At 38.5% G+C, this 19823-nt stretch overlaps 1 protein-coding gene across 21 annotated transcripts in view; it reads right to left on the bottom strand.

The window, feature by feature from the left end:
- SLC38A6 (solute carrier family 38 member 6) overlaps positions 1–19823 on the bottom strand; it is a 102489-nt gene that overhangs the window by 14287 nt on the left and 68379 nt on the right. For 13 of the 21 annotated variants that reach the window (NR_033344.2, XR_007063987.1, XR_007063988.1 and 10 more), the window contains 3 exons: positions 18811–18935; positions 17516–17660; positions 17312–17406 (listed from right to left, as the gene is read on the bottom strand). Coding sequence is in view for 16 of the 21 variants with exons in the window: in XM_017021022.2 (XP_016876511.1) it covers positions 17312–17406; positions 17516–17660; positions 18811–18935 (365 nt within the window). In the remaining 5 variants the exon portion in view is untranslated. The other 8 variants (XM_047431005.1, XM_047431006.1, NM_153811.3 and 5 more) reach the window with 5 other exon arrangements.

Here is a 19823-nt window from a genome sequence, read left to right as displayed (position 1 = left end):
AAGAAAGGGCTCAAATATAGCTTAGTGGATGAGGCAAGGGAATCTGGGATTAATGGGGGTAGTAGCGAGCCATTATCTGGGATTAATGGGGGTAGCAGTGAGCCATTATCTGGGATTAATGGGGGTAGTAGTGAGCCATTATAGGTTCTTGAGCAAGAGAGTAATACTATGAAAGCAGGATTCCAAGGAGACCAGAGAACAGTAACAGGCAAAATGGGCTGGAAGACATACATCTGCTAGCAGGTAGATATGGCAATCCAGTAGTTGTGCATTGGAGTCATCTGGGAAGCTCTAAGAAGTTTATCGATGCCTGGGTCGTAACCCTCAGAGATTTGGATTTAATTGGTTGGGGTGGAACCTGCATGTGGTAATTTTTGCAAAGTTGCCCAAGTGATGCCAAAGAACAGCCTGAAGTGATAATCACTGCAATACTTCAGGCACAAAGAGATGAAGGCTGAGATTTAGATAGGAGTCTGGCAGGAGGCTGGGTCAGCATAAAAGCAAATCTAGGAGGCATTTCAAAGAAGAACTGACATTGTGACAGATTAGAGGTAAAGAGTAGAAGGACACAGTCTGTTAGATTCCTTTATGCATTCATTCAACAAATATTAAGCCACTCCAAAGTACCAGGCACTGTCCTAAGCTCTGAGGATTTGGTTATAAATAAGACAGTTATGTCCCAGTTCTTATGAAACTTTCAGTCTAGTGGACACAGACAACACATAAACAAGATTTCCAGCAGTGACCTGTATAACAGGGTAAAGTTAAAAGCACTACCATGTGTTGGGGGCCATAAGACGGTCATGACCATAAGACAGGCAGGGCAGACCTCTCTGAGGGGGTGACAGTTGACCCGAGGCTTAAATAAGAAGCCCGGCTTGCAAAGGTCTTTGAAAATTATGCTCTAAGTAGGGAAAACAGTAAGTGTGAGGGAACAAGCTTGGTGTGTTCCAGGGGCAGAAAGGCCAGTGTGGCTGGAGAATGAAAGATACATTGACATCAGAGAAATAAGTAGGTACAGACAAAATTGAGCCTTGTAGGCCATGGCATGGATTTCATTCTAAGTGAGATGGAAAGCCCTTGGAGGAAATTAATCAGGGTAGCAATATAATCTGATTTGAATTTTTAAACAACTACTTTGCAGTATGAAAGTGGACTGTAGGTAGCAGGAATGGAAGCAAGAAAGCCAGTTGGGATGTTGGATGAAAACAGGGGCTGCTGACAGATATGAGAAAACTGTAGTGAGGAATGGATTTGGACATGTTAAGTTTGAAGTGATTGTGGAGCCCCCAAGCAGAAATGTTCTGAAGCAACTAGAAATACAGAAAACAGATAGGAGTTTAGGCTGTACCCACTGATTTGGGGGTCACTTCCAAGGGAAGTGAGGAAATGCAGGTTAGATGACACTACAGGAATATTAACAACTTCATCCAAAGTATAGATTAATAACAACTCAAGAGAAATACTGATAGCGGTGGGCTGCAGGGCCCTCTGGTTAGTCTTGTCTCATTTAACATTTTTATCTGTGAATGGGATGAAAAAATGTAAGTATGATGAAGAATGTCACAAAAGCGGGAATGGTGACTGATGCACTAGAATCAAGATTCAAAAAAAAGATCTCAACTGCTTAAGTGGTGCACTGAAGCTAACAGGATGAAATTTAACACATAGATAACAGATACATATGTATGTATGTATATGTGTACCTATACATATGTGTATATATATATATGTGTGTGTGTGTGCATGTATATTCCCTCATATTTAAAAAATGTAAATCAACAGCACAAGTACAGGGTTCTAGAAACCAGGGTAATTTACCTAAAAAAGGCCTGCAGCTTTTCTGACCACATACTTTATAAGCCAAAAGTGTAATGTCATTGCTAAAAATGCTGATGTAAAGTCAAAATATGTGGATAATATTTACTATGAAACTACAAGAATTACTTTTTCCGGGGAAAAATACATCAGTAGTGAAAATAAATGCATTGGTCAGGATATTTCTAGAATACCGTTTTCTAGTCAGGCTGCTGACTAAATGTCTGAAGCAGAGACGGCAGAAGAGACAACATGGTTGGAAGTTATGTGATTTGAGGGACAGTAAAGTAATAAAAGTGTACGTATATTCAATGCTTAACGGCTTACTCGAGTTTTTCCCAAATATGTAATCTCACTTGAAGGAGAGTTTCCTCTGGTTGAGAGAAAACCCAGTCAAATATTGAGTCTTCAGCAAGTTCAGAGAATAGTAACTTGTCCAAAATTAGAAAGATATAGAAAGAGACAGAAGCTGGGATTCGAACACAGGTAATTTTGACTCCAAAATCTTTTTTTAAAAACATATGTATATATTAAAAATACATGTATAATTTTTCATTTAAGCAATTTCACTTATCAAGTTGGTCTGAAAATGTTCAGTCAGAAAAATAAAAGTTGTATCTGAACTTTTTTCAAGCAAGATGTATGTATGTCTTACATAGTTTCATGACCTTGGGACTAGCTCAACTTCTAGGACATAATATGTGCTAAGAATTTGCTGAATGAATTAGCCAGCCCTTTTGCTTGTGTTGTGTATCTGTCCACTGATGAACACTAGATAAAATATATACACAGTTGACTCTTGAACAACATGGGTTTCAACTGCACGGGTTCACTAACAGTTGACTTTTTTCAATCAAATACGGATAAAAAATATAGTATTTTCAGGATGCAAAATCTGCGCATGTTTACACAGGGTTGATATTTTGTATATGTGGTTCTGCAGCAGGACTTGAATGTGCATGGATTTTGATATATGAGGGAGATCCTGGAACCAATCCCCCAAGGGATGACTGTACACTCAAACAAGTGAGAAACATTTCTCTGCAAGTCTTTTTCTTTATAGCATCCCATATTACAATGTCTTTTCATCCATCTGTTTTTGTGTTTTTTTTTTCTCCCTGGCAACTCAATTTTCCTTTCTACCCATTTACTTTGTACCACAGGTGAATAAACCTCTTATTCCCACCTGCCCACCTGGCCATCAGCCAAGATGAGTCTTCCTGTTCCTTATAATTGCTTGTCCTGACTGACAGCTTGGCAAAGCAGGACAACAGATTACTGTGATAATAAACACATTTATCAGATTGTTTAGGAAGGGTGACAAACAGAAAGGATTCTGATTGCAATAAAGAAACCATGTCCACAATATCTTTATTCATCCTCCATCAAAATTTTGTTTCCTACTTTTCCTACCTCCTTATGGAAAAAATACAGGAAGATTATCAGAAGAATAAATTGTGTATTTGAGTTTTTTAAAAAACAAATTTCTCAGTACAATAAAAAGATTCTGAAATGTTCTAAGGTCAAAAATTATGACACCTAAAATCTAGGCAGAAAAATTTGCAGGAAGTAAAGTATGTTTAACATAGGGCTAATTCTAACACAGCCACAGAGAGCTGTTAACATGCCAAAAAGAAAAACAGGTTAAAATTAATTCAGTTTGAGTCCCTCTGTTTCTAGCATCTATTTTCTCTCTGTATATACTGTATTGGCAGTGTCAGCACTACAGCCAGCCAGAGTGGAAGTACTCTCCACACCTAGCTACCCACAGATTACCCAGTAACCTGAGCCTGCAAACATGCAGGACAGAGAAGAGAGAAGAGAAAAATCTGTTTACCTTAAAGATAGATCTTCCAAACTCATTAACATCTTATACAGTGTTTGCCATTTCATTTGTGTTAAGATAACCTTATTCCCAGGCCCTAAAATGAATCATTTCAGGGTCAAATGGCTGTAGCACTTCCACCAATGGGTGGAATACACATTTCAAATACAATATAGAACTGGTTTAAAGGACACATTGAGAAAGAAATGTCTCTTTTTCAACTGATCTCTGCTTACTTCACTACCCCAGGGATATGAGAAAAAATTGTAAAGTTCTTAAAGGTAGATGCTTTATATGTAGGTAAATATAGAACAGGAGATTTTGCAAAGATGAAAATGTTTTAAAAAGGAGCACATGAAGACCAATGCTTAGCTCATAACCCATCTGAAGGCACATACAAAGTTCACCGGAAAATGGATAATTCGTTTCTGCTTTTCCACTGATGGATTTACCAGTATACTAAGCTGAAGTTTAAAAAATGCTGTGGTAGGAAGAAACACTACAGTACAGTAGCAAACAAAGCCAGAGAGGTTGGGTTGATCCAGTAACGTGCTACCCGTCAAATGCCAGATATGGAATTGCTGGATAGCAGAGAATCTTTAGTATTTTCAAGACCTCGATTCTATACCTAGATTGTATTGAATTTCAGATCCTGCTTCTAGATGGAAAAGCATACACACACACACACACACCCCAAAGATTTCCAGACCTTGGGTGTTTAAAGGGCCTTCACACAGTAAATCAACCTACTGCTGTCTTGTTTTCTCTGCAACCAGACTGAAATAATATAGCACAAGCAGAGGTGTGAATTACCCCCATTCATCTTAATGGAGTGTTAACTTCAAAGCCTTGTTTTAACCATTTAAATGCTAAGCTCATGAGTAAACATTCTGTTAAAAATAAAAAAGTACAATTTAAACATTCACCCTCAACATACGAAAGTAATTTATAGTCTTGGCACTTCGTCTTTTAATTTAGCAAACAAGTCTCCAAATGTTAGAAAAGTATATATTTTCTGCTTTACTTAGTTTTATTTTAAATAGTTATTACCTAATAAATTATGAACATTAAGCCCATAATGAGAAGGCCCATATTTCCCAGGAAAAATTCTGAGGGGCATTTGAACAAGGTTTTTTTTGGTAATCTTGGCTGAAGGGGGCACTGCTCTCACCAGCCATCTTATTAACCTCATCTAAATGCACAGAGAAAGTTGTGACTCAAAACAGGCAACTAGATAAGGCAGAACATTAAAGTAAAATAAAAATGAATACCTGCACAAATAATTTTTCTTGCTACTAAGTTTTGTGCAGTGTTCAACAGACTGTCCCTTTGCCAAACCTCCCATGATCCTATCTCATGAGCAGGTGACAAATGTATTAATTGATGCCCAGCTGTCATCACACTTAACAATTGCCCCCAGGGGGCATCCTTGCATCTGTTGCAGATTTAGGGTTATTTTGGTATTACTGGAGTTAGACTTATTTAAGTAGCTGCACACCTATCTGTATTTGGATCCATAATGTCATAAACAGAAGAAGAGGGTACGAGTAGTAGGATATCGGATTGACTGGCTCTGGCTGACCTGAAGCCACATGGGAGGCCATGTCTGGCTGTGGCCTGGGACCATTCTAAGTGCCTAGTTTCAGGAAGGCATTATTAGTAGGAGAGTACAGCTGAGGTAAACTGTGGGAAAGCACTCAAAACGTGCACCTGGGGCCAGTTCCCCTGTGAGTGAAGGCTAGAGAAAGATTCTGAAAATAATTCTCATGCAAGATGAAGAAATTCAAGGTATGTTTCCATGTCCTTAGTGGAAAGCAAACTCATTTCATTGGTCCAGATAAGGGAATGGACAAAGGGGATAAACATTTAATCTATCAAAAGAGTCTGTTTTGGTCTGCACCTAATTTATACAGAGCATTTAATTCTATCAATATGACCCTGTATAATAGGCATTAACTCCATTTTACAGATGTGAACATGGAGGCTTATAGAGGTTACGTAGTGTGCCTTACACTGAGACTTGAATCCAAGTCTTTCTAACCCAAGAGCTTGGTCTTTTACCATTACACTACACTGTTCTCCAGTTGCTAAATATCTTGATCTTCTCAAAAGAGAAGCTCAGTTGTCAATTTTTCGGCTTATTTCCTAAGTGAGAAGCAAAGGTGCACCTGCAAAAGAGTGTATTTCCATATATGAAAACCGGCACTTTGCATGCAATTCTCTACTTTACATGTGTACTGGGGTAGGATTACATTTTTACTGATACACCCTGGCTTTAGTAGAATTTCATGGGAGGAGAGCCCTAGGTTCTGGTTCCTAACCTGAAATAAGCCATGTCAATGAGAAGCTGCAATGATTTATAACCTCCAAACAAAATATTATAGAAATGATCAACATTTTGTCTCTGCCAAGTAGAATGTTGCCTGTTTTAGTGACCAACTAAGAAAACTCAGAGAAAGGACTTTGAAGTACACAGGCAGTCATCACAGGTCTATCTCATAATGAACAGAAGAGGAAAGTTATAAAAGTTTTTAGATAGGATTTAGAGGGAGGGCAAAATCCCTCTAAATTCTACCAAGTAGAACAATCTCAGTTTTGTTATTAGTGACTGATGCTAACAAAATTAAAACATAGCTAAGAATCAATTTTGTATATAAATTTAATACACTGATTTCTTAAAACAAACAAACAAAAGATTGACCCAATATATTTAAGAACATTTAAACACTTCTGCTCTTTGAAAGACACTGTTAAGAGAATAAAACAGCAAGCCACAAAATGGGGAAAAAAAAATCTTTGCAAAACACATATAAAGAACAGAAATTGGCTGGGCATGGTAGCTCATGCCTGTAATCTCAGCACTTTGGGAGGCTGAGGCGGGCAGATCACTTGAGGTCAGGAGTTTGCGACCAGCCTGGCCAACATGGCGAAACCCTATCTACTAAAAATACAAAAATTAGCTGGGTGTGGTGGCGTGCGCCTGTAATTCCAGCTATGCAGGAGGCTGAGGCACTAGAATTGCTTGAACCCAGGAGGTAGAGGTTGCAGTGAGCCGAGATTATACCACTGCACTCCAGCCTGGGTGACGGAAGTGAGACTCTGTCTCAAAAAAACAAAACAAAACCCCAGAAATATAAAATCTAAAAAGAATGCTTAAAAGTCAACAATGAGAAAACAATTAACAAATGGTGGTATGTGCCTGCAGTCCCAGCTACTCAGTATGCTGAGGCACTGGGATCACTTGAGCCCAGGAATTTAAATCCAGTCGGGGCAACATAGCAAGACCCAGTATTTAAAAAAAAAAAAGGCAAAAGAGAGTTGAGCTAAACAGATACTTTACCAAAGAAAATAAACAGATGGCAAATATGCATATGAAAAGATGCTCAATATCATATTAGGGAACTGCAAACTAAAACAACGAGATACCACTACATGCCAATTAGAATGGTGAAAATCTAAAACACTGACACCACCAAATGCTGGTGAGGATGTAAGACAACAGAAACTCTAATTTACTGCTCTCTGGAATATAAAATGTTACAGCCATTTTGGAAGGTAGTTTGGCAATTTCTCATAAAACTAAATACATTCTTACCATACAGTGTAGGAACTGTGCTCCATGGTATTTACTCAAATAAGCTGCAAATTATGTCTACATAAAAACCTACACAGGGGCTGGGCATCGTGGCTCATGCCCAGCACTTTGGGAGGTCGAGGCGGATGGATCACCTGAGGTCAGGAGTACAAGACCAGCCTGGCCAACATGGTAAAACCCCATCTCTACTAAAAATAGAAAAAATTAGCCAGGCGTAGTGGTGGGTGCCTGTAATCCCAGCTACTGGGGAGGCTGAGGCATGAGAATTGCTAGAACCTGGGAGATGGAGGCTACAGTGAGCCGAGATCACACCATTGCACTCCAGCCTAGGTGACAGAGTAAGACTCTGTCTCAAAACAAAACAAAACAAAACAAAACAAAAAAACCTGCACACGAATGCTTAGAGCAGCTTTATTTGTAATTGCAAAGACTTGGAAGCAACCAAGAGATCTTTCAACAGGTGAATGGATAAACAAACTGTGGTACATCCATACAATGGAATACTATTCAGTGCTACAAAGAAAGGAGCTATTAAGCCACAAAAAGACATAGAAGAAACTTAATTGCATATTTCTAAACGAAATAAGGCAGTCTGAAAAGGCTACATACTATAGGATTGCAACTATATGACATTTTGGAAAAGACAAAACTATGGAGACAGTAAAATGATCAGTGGAAATGTACAAAGACGAGCAGGTACTATTCCTACAGAAACTACTCCAAAAAAATTGAGGAGGAGGGACTCCTCTTAACTCATTCTATGAGGCCAGCATCACCTTGATACTAAAACATGACAGAGACACAATAAAAAAAGAAAACTTCAGGTCAATATCTTTGATGAACATTGATGCAAAAATCCTCAACAAAATACTTGCAAACTGAATCCAGCAACACATTAAAAGTTAATCCACCATGATCAAGTACACTTATACGGGATGCAAGGTTGGTTCAACATATGCAAATCAATAAATGTGATTCATCACATAAACAGAACTAAAGACAAAAACCACATGATCATCTCAATAGGTGCAGAAAAGGCTTCTGATAAAATTCAACACTTGGGGGAGGAGCCAAGATGGCCGAATAGGAACAGCTCCGGTCTACAGCTCCCAGCGTGAGCGACGCAGAAGACGGGTGATTTCTGCATTTCCATCTGAGGTACCGGGTTCTTCTCACTAGGGAGTGCCAGACAGTGGGCGCAGGCCAGTGTGTGCGCGCACCGTGCGCGAGCCGAAGCAGGTCGAGGCATTGCCTCACCTGGGAAGCGCAAGGGGTCAGGGAGTTCCCTTTCCGAGTCAAAGAAAGGGGTGACGGACGCACCTGGAAAATCGGGTCACTCCCACCCGAATATTGCGCTTTTCAGACCGGCTTAAGAAACGGCGCACCACGAGACTATATCCCACACCTGGCTCAGAGGGTCCTACGCCCACGGAATCTCGCTGATTGCTAGCACAGCAGTCTGAGATCAAACTGCAAGGCGGCAACGAGGCTGGGGGAGGGGCGCCCGCCATTGCCCAGGCTTGCTTAGGTAAACAAAGCAGCCGGGAAGCTCGAACTGGGTGGAGCCCACCACAGCTCAAGGAGGCCTGCCTGCCTCTGTAGGCTCCACCTCTGGGGGCAGGGCACAGACAAACAAAAAGACAGCAGTAACCTCTGCAGACTTAAGTGTCCCTGTCTGACAGCTTTGAAGAGAGCAGTGGTTCTCCCAGCACGCAGCTGGAGATCTGAGAACGGGCAGACTGCCTCCTCAAGTGGGTCCCTGACCCCTGACCCCCGAGCAGCCTAACTGGGAGGCACCCCCCAGCAGGGGCACACTGACACCTCACACGGCAGGGTATTCCAACAGACCTGCAGCTGAGGGTCCTGTCTGTTAGAAGGAAAACTAACAAACAGAAAGGACATCTACACCGAAAACCCATCTGTACATCACCATCATCAAAGACCAAAAGTAGATAAAACCACAAAGATGGGGAAAAAACAGAACAGAAAAACTGGAAACTCTAAAACGCAGAGCGCCTCTCCTCCTCCAAAGGAACGCAGTTCCTCACCAGCAACGGAACAAAGCTGGATGGAGAATGATTTTGACGAGCTGAGAGAAGAAGGCTTCAGACGATCAAATTACTCTGAGCTACGGGAGGACATTCAAACCAAAGGCAAAGAAGTTGAAAACTTTGAAAAAAATTTAGAAGAATGTATAACTAGAATAACCAATACAGAGAAGTGCTTAAAGGAGCTGATGGAGCTGAAAACCAAGGCTCGAGAACTACGTGAAGAATGCAGAAGCCTCAGGAGCTGATGCGATCAACTGGAAGAAAGGGTATCAGCAATGGAAGATGAAATGAATGAAATGAAGCGAGAAGGGAAGTTTAGAGAAAAAAGAATAAAAAGAAATGAGCAAAGCCTCCAAGAAATATGGGACTATGTGAAAAGACCAAATCTACGTCTGATTGGTGTACCTGAAAGTGATGTGGAGAATGGAACCAAGTTGGAAAACACTCTGCAGGATATTATCCAGGAGAACTTCCCCAATCTAGCAAGGCAGGCCAACGTTCAGATTCAGGAAATACAGAGAACGCCACAAAGATACTCCTCGAGAAGAGCAACTCCAAGACACATAATTGTCAGATTCACCAAAGTTGAAATGAAGGAAAAAATGTTAAGGGCAGCCAGAGAGAAAGGTCGGGTTACCCTCAAAGGAAAGCCCATCAGACTAACAGCGGATCTCTCGGCAGAAACCCAACAAGCCAGAAGAGAGTGGGGGCCAATATTCAACATTCTTAAAGAAAAGAATTTTCAACCCAGAATTTCATATCCAGCCAAACTAAGCTTCATAAGTGAAGGAGAAATAAAATACTTTATAGACAAGCAAATGCTGAGAGATTTTGTCACCACCAGGCCTGCCCTAAAAGAGCTCCTGAAGGAAGTGCTAAACATGGAAAGGAACAACCGGTACCAGCCGCTGCAAAATCATGCCAAAATGTAAAGACCATCGAGACTAGGAAGAAACTGCATCAACTAATGAGCAAAATCACCAGCTAACATCATAATGACAGGATCAAATTCACACATAACAATATTAACTTTAAATATAAATGGACTAAATTCTGCAATTAAAAGACACAGACTGGCAAGTTGGATAAAGAGTCAAGACCCATCAGTGTGCTGTATTCAGGAAACCCATCTCACGTGCAGAGACACACATAGGCTCAAAATAAAAGGATGGAGGAAGATCTACCAAGCCAATGGAAAACAAAAAAAGGCAGGGGTTGCAATCCTAGTCTCTGATAAAACAGACTTTAAACCAACAAAGATCAAAAGAGACAAAGAAGGCCATTACATAATGGTAAAGGGATCAATTCAACAAGAGGAGCTAACTATCCTAAATATTTATGCACCCAATACAGGAGCACCCAGATTCATAAAGCAAGTCCTGAGTGACCTACAAAGAGACTTAGACTCCCACACATTAATAATGGGAGACTTTAACACCCCACTGTCAACATTAGACAGATCAACGAGACAGAAAGTCAACAAGGATACCCAGGAATTGAACTCAGCTCTGCACCAAGCAGACCTAATAGACATCTACAGAACTCTCCACCCCAAATCAACAGAATATACATTTTTTTCAGCACCACACCACACCTATTCCAAAATTGACCACATAGTTGGAAGTAAAGCTCTCCTCAGCAAATGTAAAAGAACAGAAATTATAACAAACTATCTCTCAGACCACAGTGCAATCAAACTAGAACTCAGGATTAAGAATCTCACTCAAAGCCGCTCAACTACATGGAAACTGAACAACCTGCTCCTGAATGACTACTGGGTACATAACGAAATGAAGGCAGAAATAAAGATGTTCTTTGAAACCAACGAGAACAAAGACACCACATACCAGAATCTCTGGGACGCATTCAAAGCAGTGTGTAGAGGGAAATTTATAGCACTAAACGCCTACAAGAGAAAGCAGGAAAGATCCAAAATTGACACCCTAACATCACAATTAAAAGAACTAGAAAAGCAAGAGCAAACACATTCAAAAGCTAGCAGAAGGCAAGAAATAACTAAAATCAGAGCAGAACTGAAGGAAATAGAGACACAAAAAACCCTTCAAAAAATCAATGAATCCAGGAGCTGGTTTTTTGAAAGTATCAACAAAATTGATAGACCGCTAGCAAGACTAATAAAGAAAAAAAGAGAGAAGAATCAAATAGACACAATAAAAAATGATAAAGGGGATATCACCACCGATCCCACAGAAATACAAACTACCATGAGAGAATACTACAAACACCTCTACGCAAATAAACTAGAAAATCTAGAAGAAATGGATACATTCCTCGACACATACACTCTCCCAAGACTAAACCAGGAAGAAGTTGAATCTCTGAATAGACCAATAACAAGCTCTGAAATTGTGGCAATAATCAATAGTTTACCAACCAAAAAGAGTCCAGGACCAGATGGATTCACAGCTGAATCCTACCAGAGGTACAAGGAGGAACTGGTACCATTCCTTCTGAAACTATTCCAATCAATAGAAAAAGAGGGAATCCTCCCTAACTCATTTTATGAGGCCAGCATCATTCTGATACCAAAGCCGGGCAGAGACACAACCAAAAAAGAGAATTTTAGACCAATATCCTTGATGAACATTGATGCAAAAATCCTCAATAAAATACTGGCAAACCGAATCCAGCAGCACATCAAAAAGCTTATCCACCATGATCAAGTGGGCTTCATCCCTGGGATGCAAGGCTGGTTCAATATACGCAAATAAATAAATGTAATCCAGCATATAAACAGAGCCAAAGACAAAAACCACATGATTATCTCAATAGATGCAGAAAAAGCCTTTGACAAAATTCAACAACCCTTCATGCTAAAAACTCTCAATAAATTAGGTATTGATGGGACGTATTTCAGAATAATAAGAGCTATCTATGACAAACCCACAGCCAATATCATACTGAATGGGCAAAAACTGGAAGCATTCCCTTTGAAAACTGGCACAAGACAGGGATGCCCTCTCTCACCGCTCCTATTCAACATAGTGTTGGAAGTTCTGGCCAGGGCAGTCAGGCAGGAGAAGGAAATAAAGGGTATTCAATTAGGAAAAGAGGAAGTCAAATTGTCCCTGTTTGCAGACGACATGATTGTTTATCTAGAAAACCCCATCGTCTCAGCCCAAAACCTCCTTAAGCTGATAAGCAACTTCAGCAAAGTCTCAGGATACAAAATCAATGTACAAAAATCACAAGCATTCTTATACACCAACAACAGACAAACAGAGAGCCAAATCATGAGTGAACTCCCATTCACAATTGCTTCAAAGAGAATAAAATACCTAGGAATCCAACTTACAAGGGATGTGAAGGACCTCTTCAAGGAGAACTACAAACCACTGCTCAAGGAAATAAAAGAGGACACAAACAAATGGAAGAACATTCCATGCTCTTGGGTAGGAAGAATCAATATCGTGAAAATGGCCATACTGCCCAAGGTAATTTACAGATTCAATGCCATCCCCATCAAGCTACCAATGACTTTCTTCACAGAATTGGAAAAAACTACTTTAAAGTTCATATGGAACCAAAAAAGAGCCCGCATTGCCAAGTCAATCCTAAGCCAAAAGAACAAAGCTGGAGGCATCACACTACCTGACTTCAAACTATACTACAAGGCTACAGTAACCAAAACAGCATGGTACTGGTACCAAAACAGAGATATAGATCAATGGAACAGAACAGAGCCCTCAGAAATAATGCCGCATATCTACAACTATCTGATCTTTGACAAACCTGAGAAAAACAAGCAATGGGGAAAGGATTCCCTATTTAATAAATGGTGCTGGGAAAACTGGCTAGCCATATGTAGAAAGCTGAAACTGGATCCCTTCCTTACACCTTATACAAAAATCAATTCAAGATGGATTAAAGATTTAAACATTAGACCTAAAACCATAAAAACCCTAGAAGAAAACCTAGGCATTACCATTCAGGACATAGGCGTGGGCAAGGACTTCATGTCCAAAACACCAAAAGCAATGGCAACAAAAGCCAAAATTGACAAATGGGATCTAATTAAACTAAAGAGCTTCTGCACAGCAAAAGAAACTACCATCAGAGTGAACAGGCAACCTATAAAATGGGAGAAAATTTTTGCAACCTACTCATCTGACAAAGGGCTAATATCCAGAATCTACAATGAACTCAAACAAATTTACAAGAAAAAAACAAACAACCCCATCAAAAAGTGGGCGAAGGACATGAACAGATACTTCTCAAAAGAAGACATTTATGCAGCCAAAAAACACATGAAGAAATGCTCATCATCACTGGCCATCAGAGAAATGCAAATCAAAACCACTATGAGATATCATCTCACACCAGTTAGAATGGCAATCATTAAAAAGTCAGGAAACAACAGGTGCTGGAGAGGATGTGGAGAAATAGGAACACTTTTACACTGTTGGTGGGACTGTAAACTAGTTCAACCATTGTGGAAGTCAGTGTGGCGATTCCTCAGGGATCTAGAACTAGAAATACCATTTGACCCAGCCATCCCATTACTGGGTATATACCCAAAGGACTATAAATCATGCTGCTATAAAGACACATGCACACGTATGTTTATTGCGGCACTATTCACAATAGCAAAGACTTGGAACCAACCCAAATGTCCAACAATGATAGACTGGATTAAGAAAATGTGGCACATATACACCATGGAATACTATGCAGCCATAAAAAATGATGAGTTCATGTCCTTTGTAGGGACATGGATGAAATTGGAAACCATCATTCTCAGTAAACTATCGCAAGAACAAAAAACCAAACACCGCATATTCTCACTCATAGGTGGGAATTGAACAATGAGATCACATGGACACAGGAAGGGGAATATCACACTCTGGGGACTGTGGTGGGGTCGGGGGAGGGGGGAGGGATAGCATTGGGAGATATACCTAATGCTAGATGACACGTTAGTGGGTGCAGCGCACCAGCATGGCACATGTATACATATGTAACTAACCTGCACAATGTGCACATGTACCCTAAAACTTAGAGTATAATAAAAAAAAAAAGAAAAAAAAAAAGAAAAAGACTTAAAAAAAAAAAAAATTCAACACTGCTTCATGTTAAAAACTCTCAACAAACTAGGTATTGTAGGAACATACCTCAAAATAATAAGAGGCATCCATGACAAACTCATGGCCAACATTATACTGAATAGATAAAACCTGGAAGCATTTCCCTTGAAAACTGGCGTTAAGACGAGGATACCCTCTCTCACCACTCCTATTCAACATAGTATTGGAAATCCTAGCCAGAGCAGTCAGGCAAGAGAAAGAAAGAAAGGACATCCAAATAGGAAGAGAGGAAGTCAAACTATCTCTGTTTGCAGATGACATGATTCTATATCTAGAATGGTCTCCACCCAAAAGCTCCTTGAGCTGATAACTTCAGCAAAGTTTCAGGATATAAAATCAATGTACAAAAATTACTAGCATTCCTATACACCACCAATAACCAAACTGAGAGCCAAATCAGACAATCCCATTCACAATTGCCACAAAAAGAATAAAATACCTAGGAATACAGCTAACCAGGGAGGTGAAAGATTTCTACAATGAGAATTATAAAACACTGCTTAAATAAATCAGAGAAGACACAAACAAATGAAAAAACATTCCATGCTCATGGATAGGAAGAATCGTTATCATTAAAATGGCCATATTGGCTAAAGCAATTTACAGATTCAATGCTATTCCTATAAAACTACCAATGACATTCTTCACAGAACTAGATAAAACTATTTTAAAATTCATATGGAACCAAAAAAGGGCCTGAATAGCCAGGGCAATCCTAAGCAAAAAGAACAAAGCTGGAGGCATCACATGAACCCACTTCAAACTATACTACAGGACTACAGGAACTAAAACTGCATGACAGTGGTATAAAAACAGGCACATAGACCAATGGAACAGTATAGAGAACCCAGAAATAAGGCCACACACCTATGACCATCTGATCTTCAACAAAGCTGAAAGAAACAAGCAATGGGGAAAAGACTCACTATTCAATAAATGATGCTGGAATGACTGGCTAGCCATATGCAGAAGATTGAAGCTGTACCCTTTCCTTATACCATATATAAAAATCAACTCAAGATGGATTAAAGACTTAAATGTAAAACCCAAAACTTTAAAAACCCTGGAAGACAACCTAGGCAATACCATCCCAGACATAGGAATGGGCAAAGATTTCATGACAAAGGCACCAAGCAATTGCAACAAAAGCAAAAATTAACTGACAAATGAGATCTAATTAAACTTAAGAGCTTCTGCACAGCAAAAAAAACCAAACAGCCTACAGAACAGGAGAAAATATGTGCAAACTATACATCCAACAAAGGTCTAATATCCGGCATCTATGAGGAACTTGAACAAATTTACAAGAGAAAAACCACCCCATTAAAAAGTGGGCAAAGGACATGAACAGACACTTCTCAAAAGAAGACATACATACATGCTGCCAACAAGCACATAAGAAAGCTCAGTAGCACTGATCATTAGAGAAATGCAAATCAAAACCACAAGGAGATTATCATCTCCCATCAGTCAGAATGGCTATTAATAAAAAGTCAAAAAATAACATACTGGTGAGGTTGTGGACAAAAGGGAACATTTATACACTTTTGGTGGGAGTGTAAATTAGTTCAACAATCGTGGAAGCACTATGGTGATTCCTCAAAGAGCTAAAAGCAAAACTACCATTCATCCCAGCAATCCCATTACTGAATATATACCCCAAGGAACATAAATTATTCCACCATAAAGACACATGCACGTAAATGTTCACTGTAGCACTGTTCACTGTAGCACTATTCACTATAGCCAAGACATGGAATCACCCTATATACCCATCAATGACAGACTGGATAAAGAAAATATGGTATATATATATCATGGAATACTATGCAGCCATAAAAAATAAGATCATGTCTTTTGCAGGAACATGGATGGAGGTGGAGGCTTTTATCCTTAGCAAACACACACAGGAAAAGAAAACCATATATTGCATGTCTTCATTTCTACGTGAGAGCTAAATAGTAAGAACTTATGAACACAAAGAAAAAAACAACTGGGGCTGGTGGGTAGAGGGTGGGAGGAGGGAGAGGAGCAGAAAACGTAACTAATGAGTACTGGGTTTAATACCTGGGAGATGAAATAATCTGTATAACAAATTCCCGTGACACGAGTTTACCTATGTAACAAGCTTTCACATGTACCCTTGAACCTAAAATAAAAGTTAAAAAAAAATCAGTGGTTGCTAGTGGCTGCCAAGAATGAAACCTAAGGTAAACTATGAACTTTAGTTAATAATAATAGTTAATATTGGCTCATCAAATGTAACAAATGTACCACATGAACGCAAGAGTTAATAATAGGGGAAACTGTATGTTGGGGTAAAACGGTATATGTGAACTCTGTACTTTCTGTTCAGTATTTCTGCAAACATAAAACTACCATAAAAATATTAATTTAAAAAACAAAAGATCAACCCAATATATTTAAGAGCATTTCGAGTTTGTTTCTTTTTTTGATTAAAACTGCCACACTCTTACTTCCCCATACCCACTGCCATTTTGTTCTGCTTTTCTGTTAATAATTTTTATTAAAATGTTATTTTTCATCCAGGGTGTCTTCCGGAATAATTCATTCTTGCAACTAGGGGTATATTATTCTTGTAAGAAGTAGGAAAATATTTCTTTTATTTATTAATCCAATCAAAAATGATGAGTGCTAAACTAAAATTCCCAACCAAAATTCCAAAGATGAGCAAAACGAATGCCTGTGGAAATAAGAAAAAAGATAAAAGATAAGAAAGATAAAAGAAAAAAGATAAAAAAATACAATTGGATTATTTGTTAAATCTCTACTCTCTGCAATAATGTATTCTATATTTTAAAATATATTGACTTTCTTGATGCAGGTAAAATAATATAAACTGACAAACTATTTCTTAAAATAGAAGTCTTGAAAGAAAGAAACAAAAACAACCTACCCCAAGCTTTTTCCATGACAGAAAATCCTCTCTGCTAAGTTTAAGATAAAATAGTCCTGGGAATATAAAAATCAAACATGTTGATGTACTGGCACCTTTAAAGTGGAGGGAAAAAAAAGAGAGGATATTGCTGGATTCAGATGTGAGGCTGGGTAGCAATTTTATCAATTTTATTATGTGAACTTTTTGAAACAGAAAACTTACCAACTACACCAAATACATTTCTAATGTCAGGAACATATATTGCAAGTAAAACGATGATAATATTGAGTGCTAGAGTGATCAAAAAATGGCGAATCCATGAGAATGGAAAATTGGAGAAAAACATCATTGTTACAGCTTTTCTGGCCTGTATTACAGAAAAATAAACATATAGCGAAGAGGAAATGTCAAAGTCCAGATATTTGCTGAGAGAAACATATACAACAACCATGATATTTTTGCCTCCTACATCATTTAGATTTCAAAAATACAGCATAAACTATTATTATAAAGTATTTATACACATAAACTGTTTATATACTAACCCTTTCTGTGTAAGCTTCATAAAAATACTTAGCTTTAATGCTAGAAAAAGTTTTCACATGCAATTTTTTTAGGTTGCATAATTTTTAAAATTACCAACAATAAAAATATGAAAAAAGTCTCAAAGAATGATTTTCATTAAATGCAACAGATTAAAAAAACAGACAATTTATAATAGAAAAAGAAATCATGCCATGGGAAAGAAATACCACTTACTATTTTATTTTATATGTTTCACAGCCTGTAAATATGAAAAAATAGTTCACTACACTTCCCATTGCTAAGAGCACAGCAGGCGGTCACATGCCAAAAAATTTATCCAGTCCCTGCTGTAATCTTGGCACTGCAGCCCACACAGGGAGGAGGCTTGAAGCCCCAGCTCTTACAAAACTCAGCATTAGAGATTCAAGACATCCATGCAGATGCATTTATACCCAAAGCCTTTGTTCCCTTTTTCTCAGAAATTCTTAAGATTCTCAAGTATAGCAACCAGATGCAATGAAAATCTGTTTTGCCCCTTAAATTACAATTCTAGAGCAAATAAAATATTTTCACCAAGATTGAACTAGAATGCTTATGTGAAAATAAATTTACAATAAACCCAGAAGGAGCTTATTTTTCCTGACTTGACTTTTTCCTCTTCATGCACATTTTTTTGAAAACAGAATACAGAATTAAAGGGGGGAAAAACCCAAAACTTTAGAAGAACTATAGTTTCTAAATTGGAAACAATGCTGTGGGAGAACGTAAATCTAAACTAAATCTCAAAAAGCACAAATTAGCTTAGTGGCTCACTGTTATTTTTATGCTTTTACGGGGCCATATGCAAGTATGAAGTCTTTGATCAATTACTTGACAAGTGAATAAGATATACAAGACTAGATGTGATTCAAACATTCTATTCTGCAAAGAATTAGTGTTTCCCTATTAGGAAGCGTCTATACTAGGCAACAAAACCCTTTAAGAGTACTTACAGGGAAGTGGATTAGAGGGACTGTCAAAAGCACAGCAAATAGTATGCATAACTTCACAGTCATGACAACAACATCATGTGATAAGTATTTACTATAACCTTTTAGTAATTCTGACTCCACTTTGTCTGTAAATAAAATAATAAGGATCACATTATAAAGTACTAAGGTATCAATAGTAACAAAATTGTTTTCCTTTGCACTAATGGATGATAACAGATTTTAGATTCCCATTACCAAATCCTGGCCTTTCCCCTAGCCTATGAAACACAGAGACATTAATTAAATATCTTCTTGAAACCTAACACCCTTTTTCCTTTAATAAAAACCAGAATAAGCAGAACCTCTCAAATTATGACAATGAATATGTATACTAAATTATCTCTTTGGAACTTTTCCATAATCTAAGGGTTTGAACATTTGTGCTGTTTGTTTATAAAGTGCTTTCACACGTGTTGTTGAATTTAGTCCCCATGATAACAATATTAATACGCAGGTAGGTCCAAAAGTGTTAAATGATTTGCCTAAGATCACATAACACAAAGGGGCAGTGCCATACACCTACTTCTTTTTGGTGCTAGAGACAGCATCTTTTCCTCAATACCACAACGTTTTCTAGAATCTCAGAGCTTGGTGCATGTTACGTTTCATCTGTGGATTCATGTTTTATGAAAAAAAGAGAAGTGTTAGGGAAATGTCTTACTTAGTAGGCCAGTGTGTGGTGGTCAGCAATAGGATTTATACATGCCGACCAAGCTTTGCTCCAGTGTTCTTGCATTCTCACAATGTCTCCCTAACCTCAACCCAGACAAGGGGAAAGAAGACTGAGGGTGCTCAGAAACACTGGATATCAGTGTTTTGTGGGAAAATATCAGTTTGTACTTAAAATAGAATGGTGCCTTTTAATTTGAGAGTGTTTCAGAAAGGATACTTTGAGGGAAACCAAAAACAAAAGGAAACATACCTCTGTTCTCAGGGAACTTTAAGAAGAGATGAGATGAATACACATAGCTATG

The sequence above is a fragment of the Homo sapiens genome, chromosome 14, assembly GCF_000001405.40.
Source record: "Homo sapiens chromosome 14, GRCh38.p14 Primary Assembly".
NCBI lineage: Eukaryota > Metazoa > Chordata > Mammalia > Primates > Hominidae > Homo > Homo sapiens.
The sequence above is the reverse complement of the archived record's forward strand: the minus strand, read 5'-3'. Positions and strand labels throughout refer to the sequence as shown.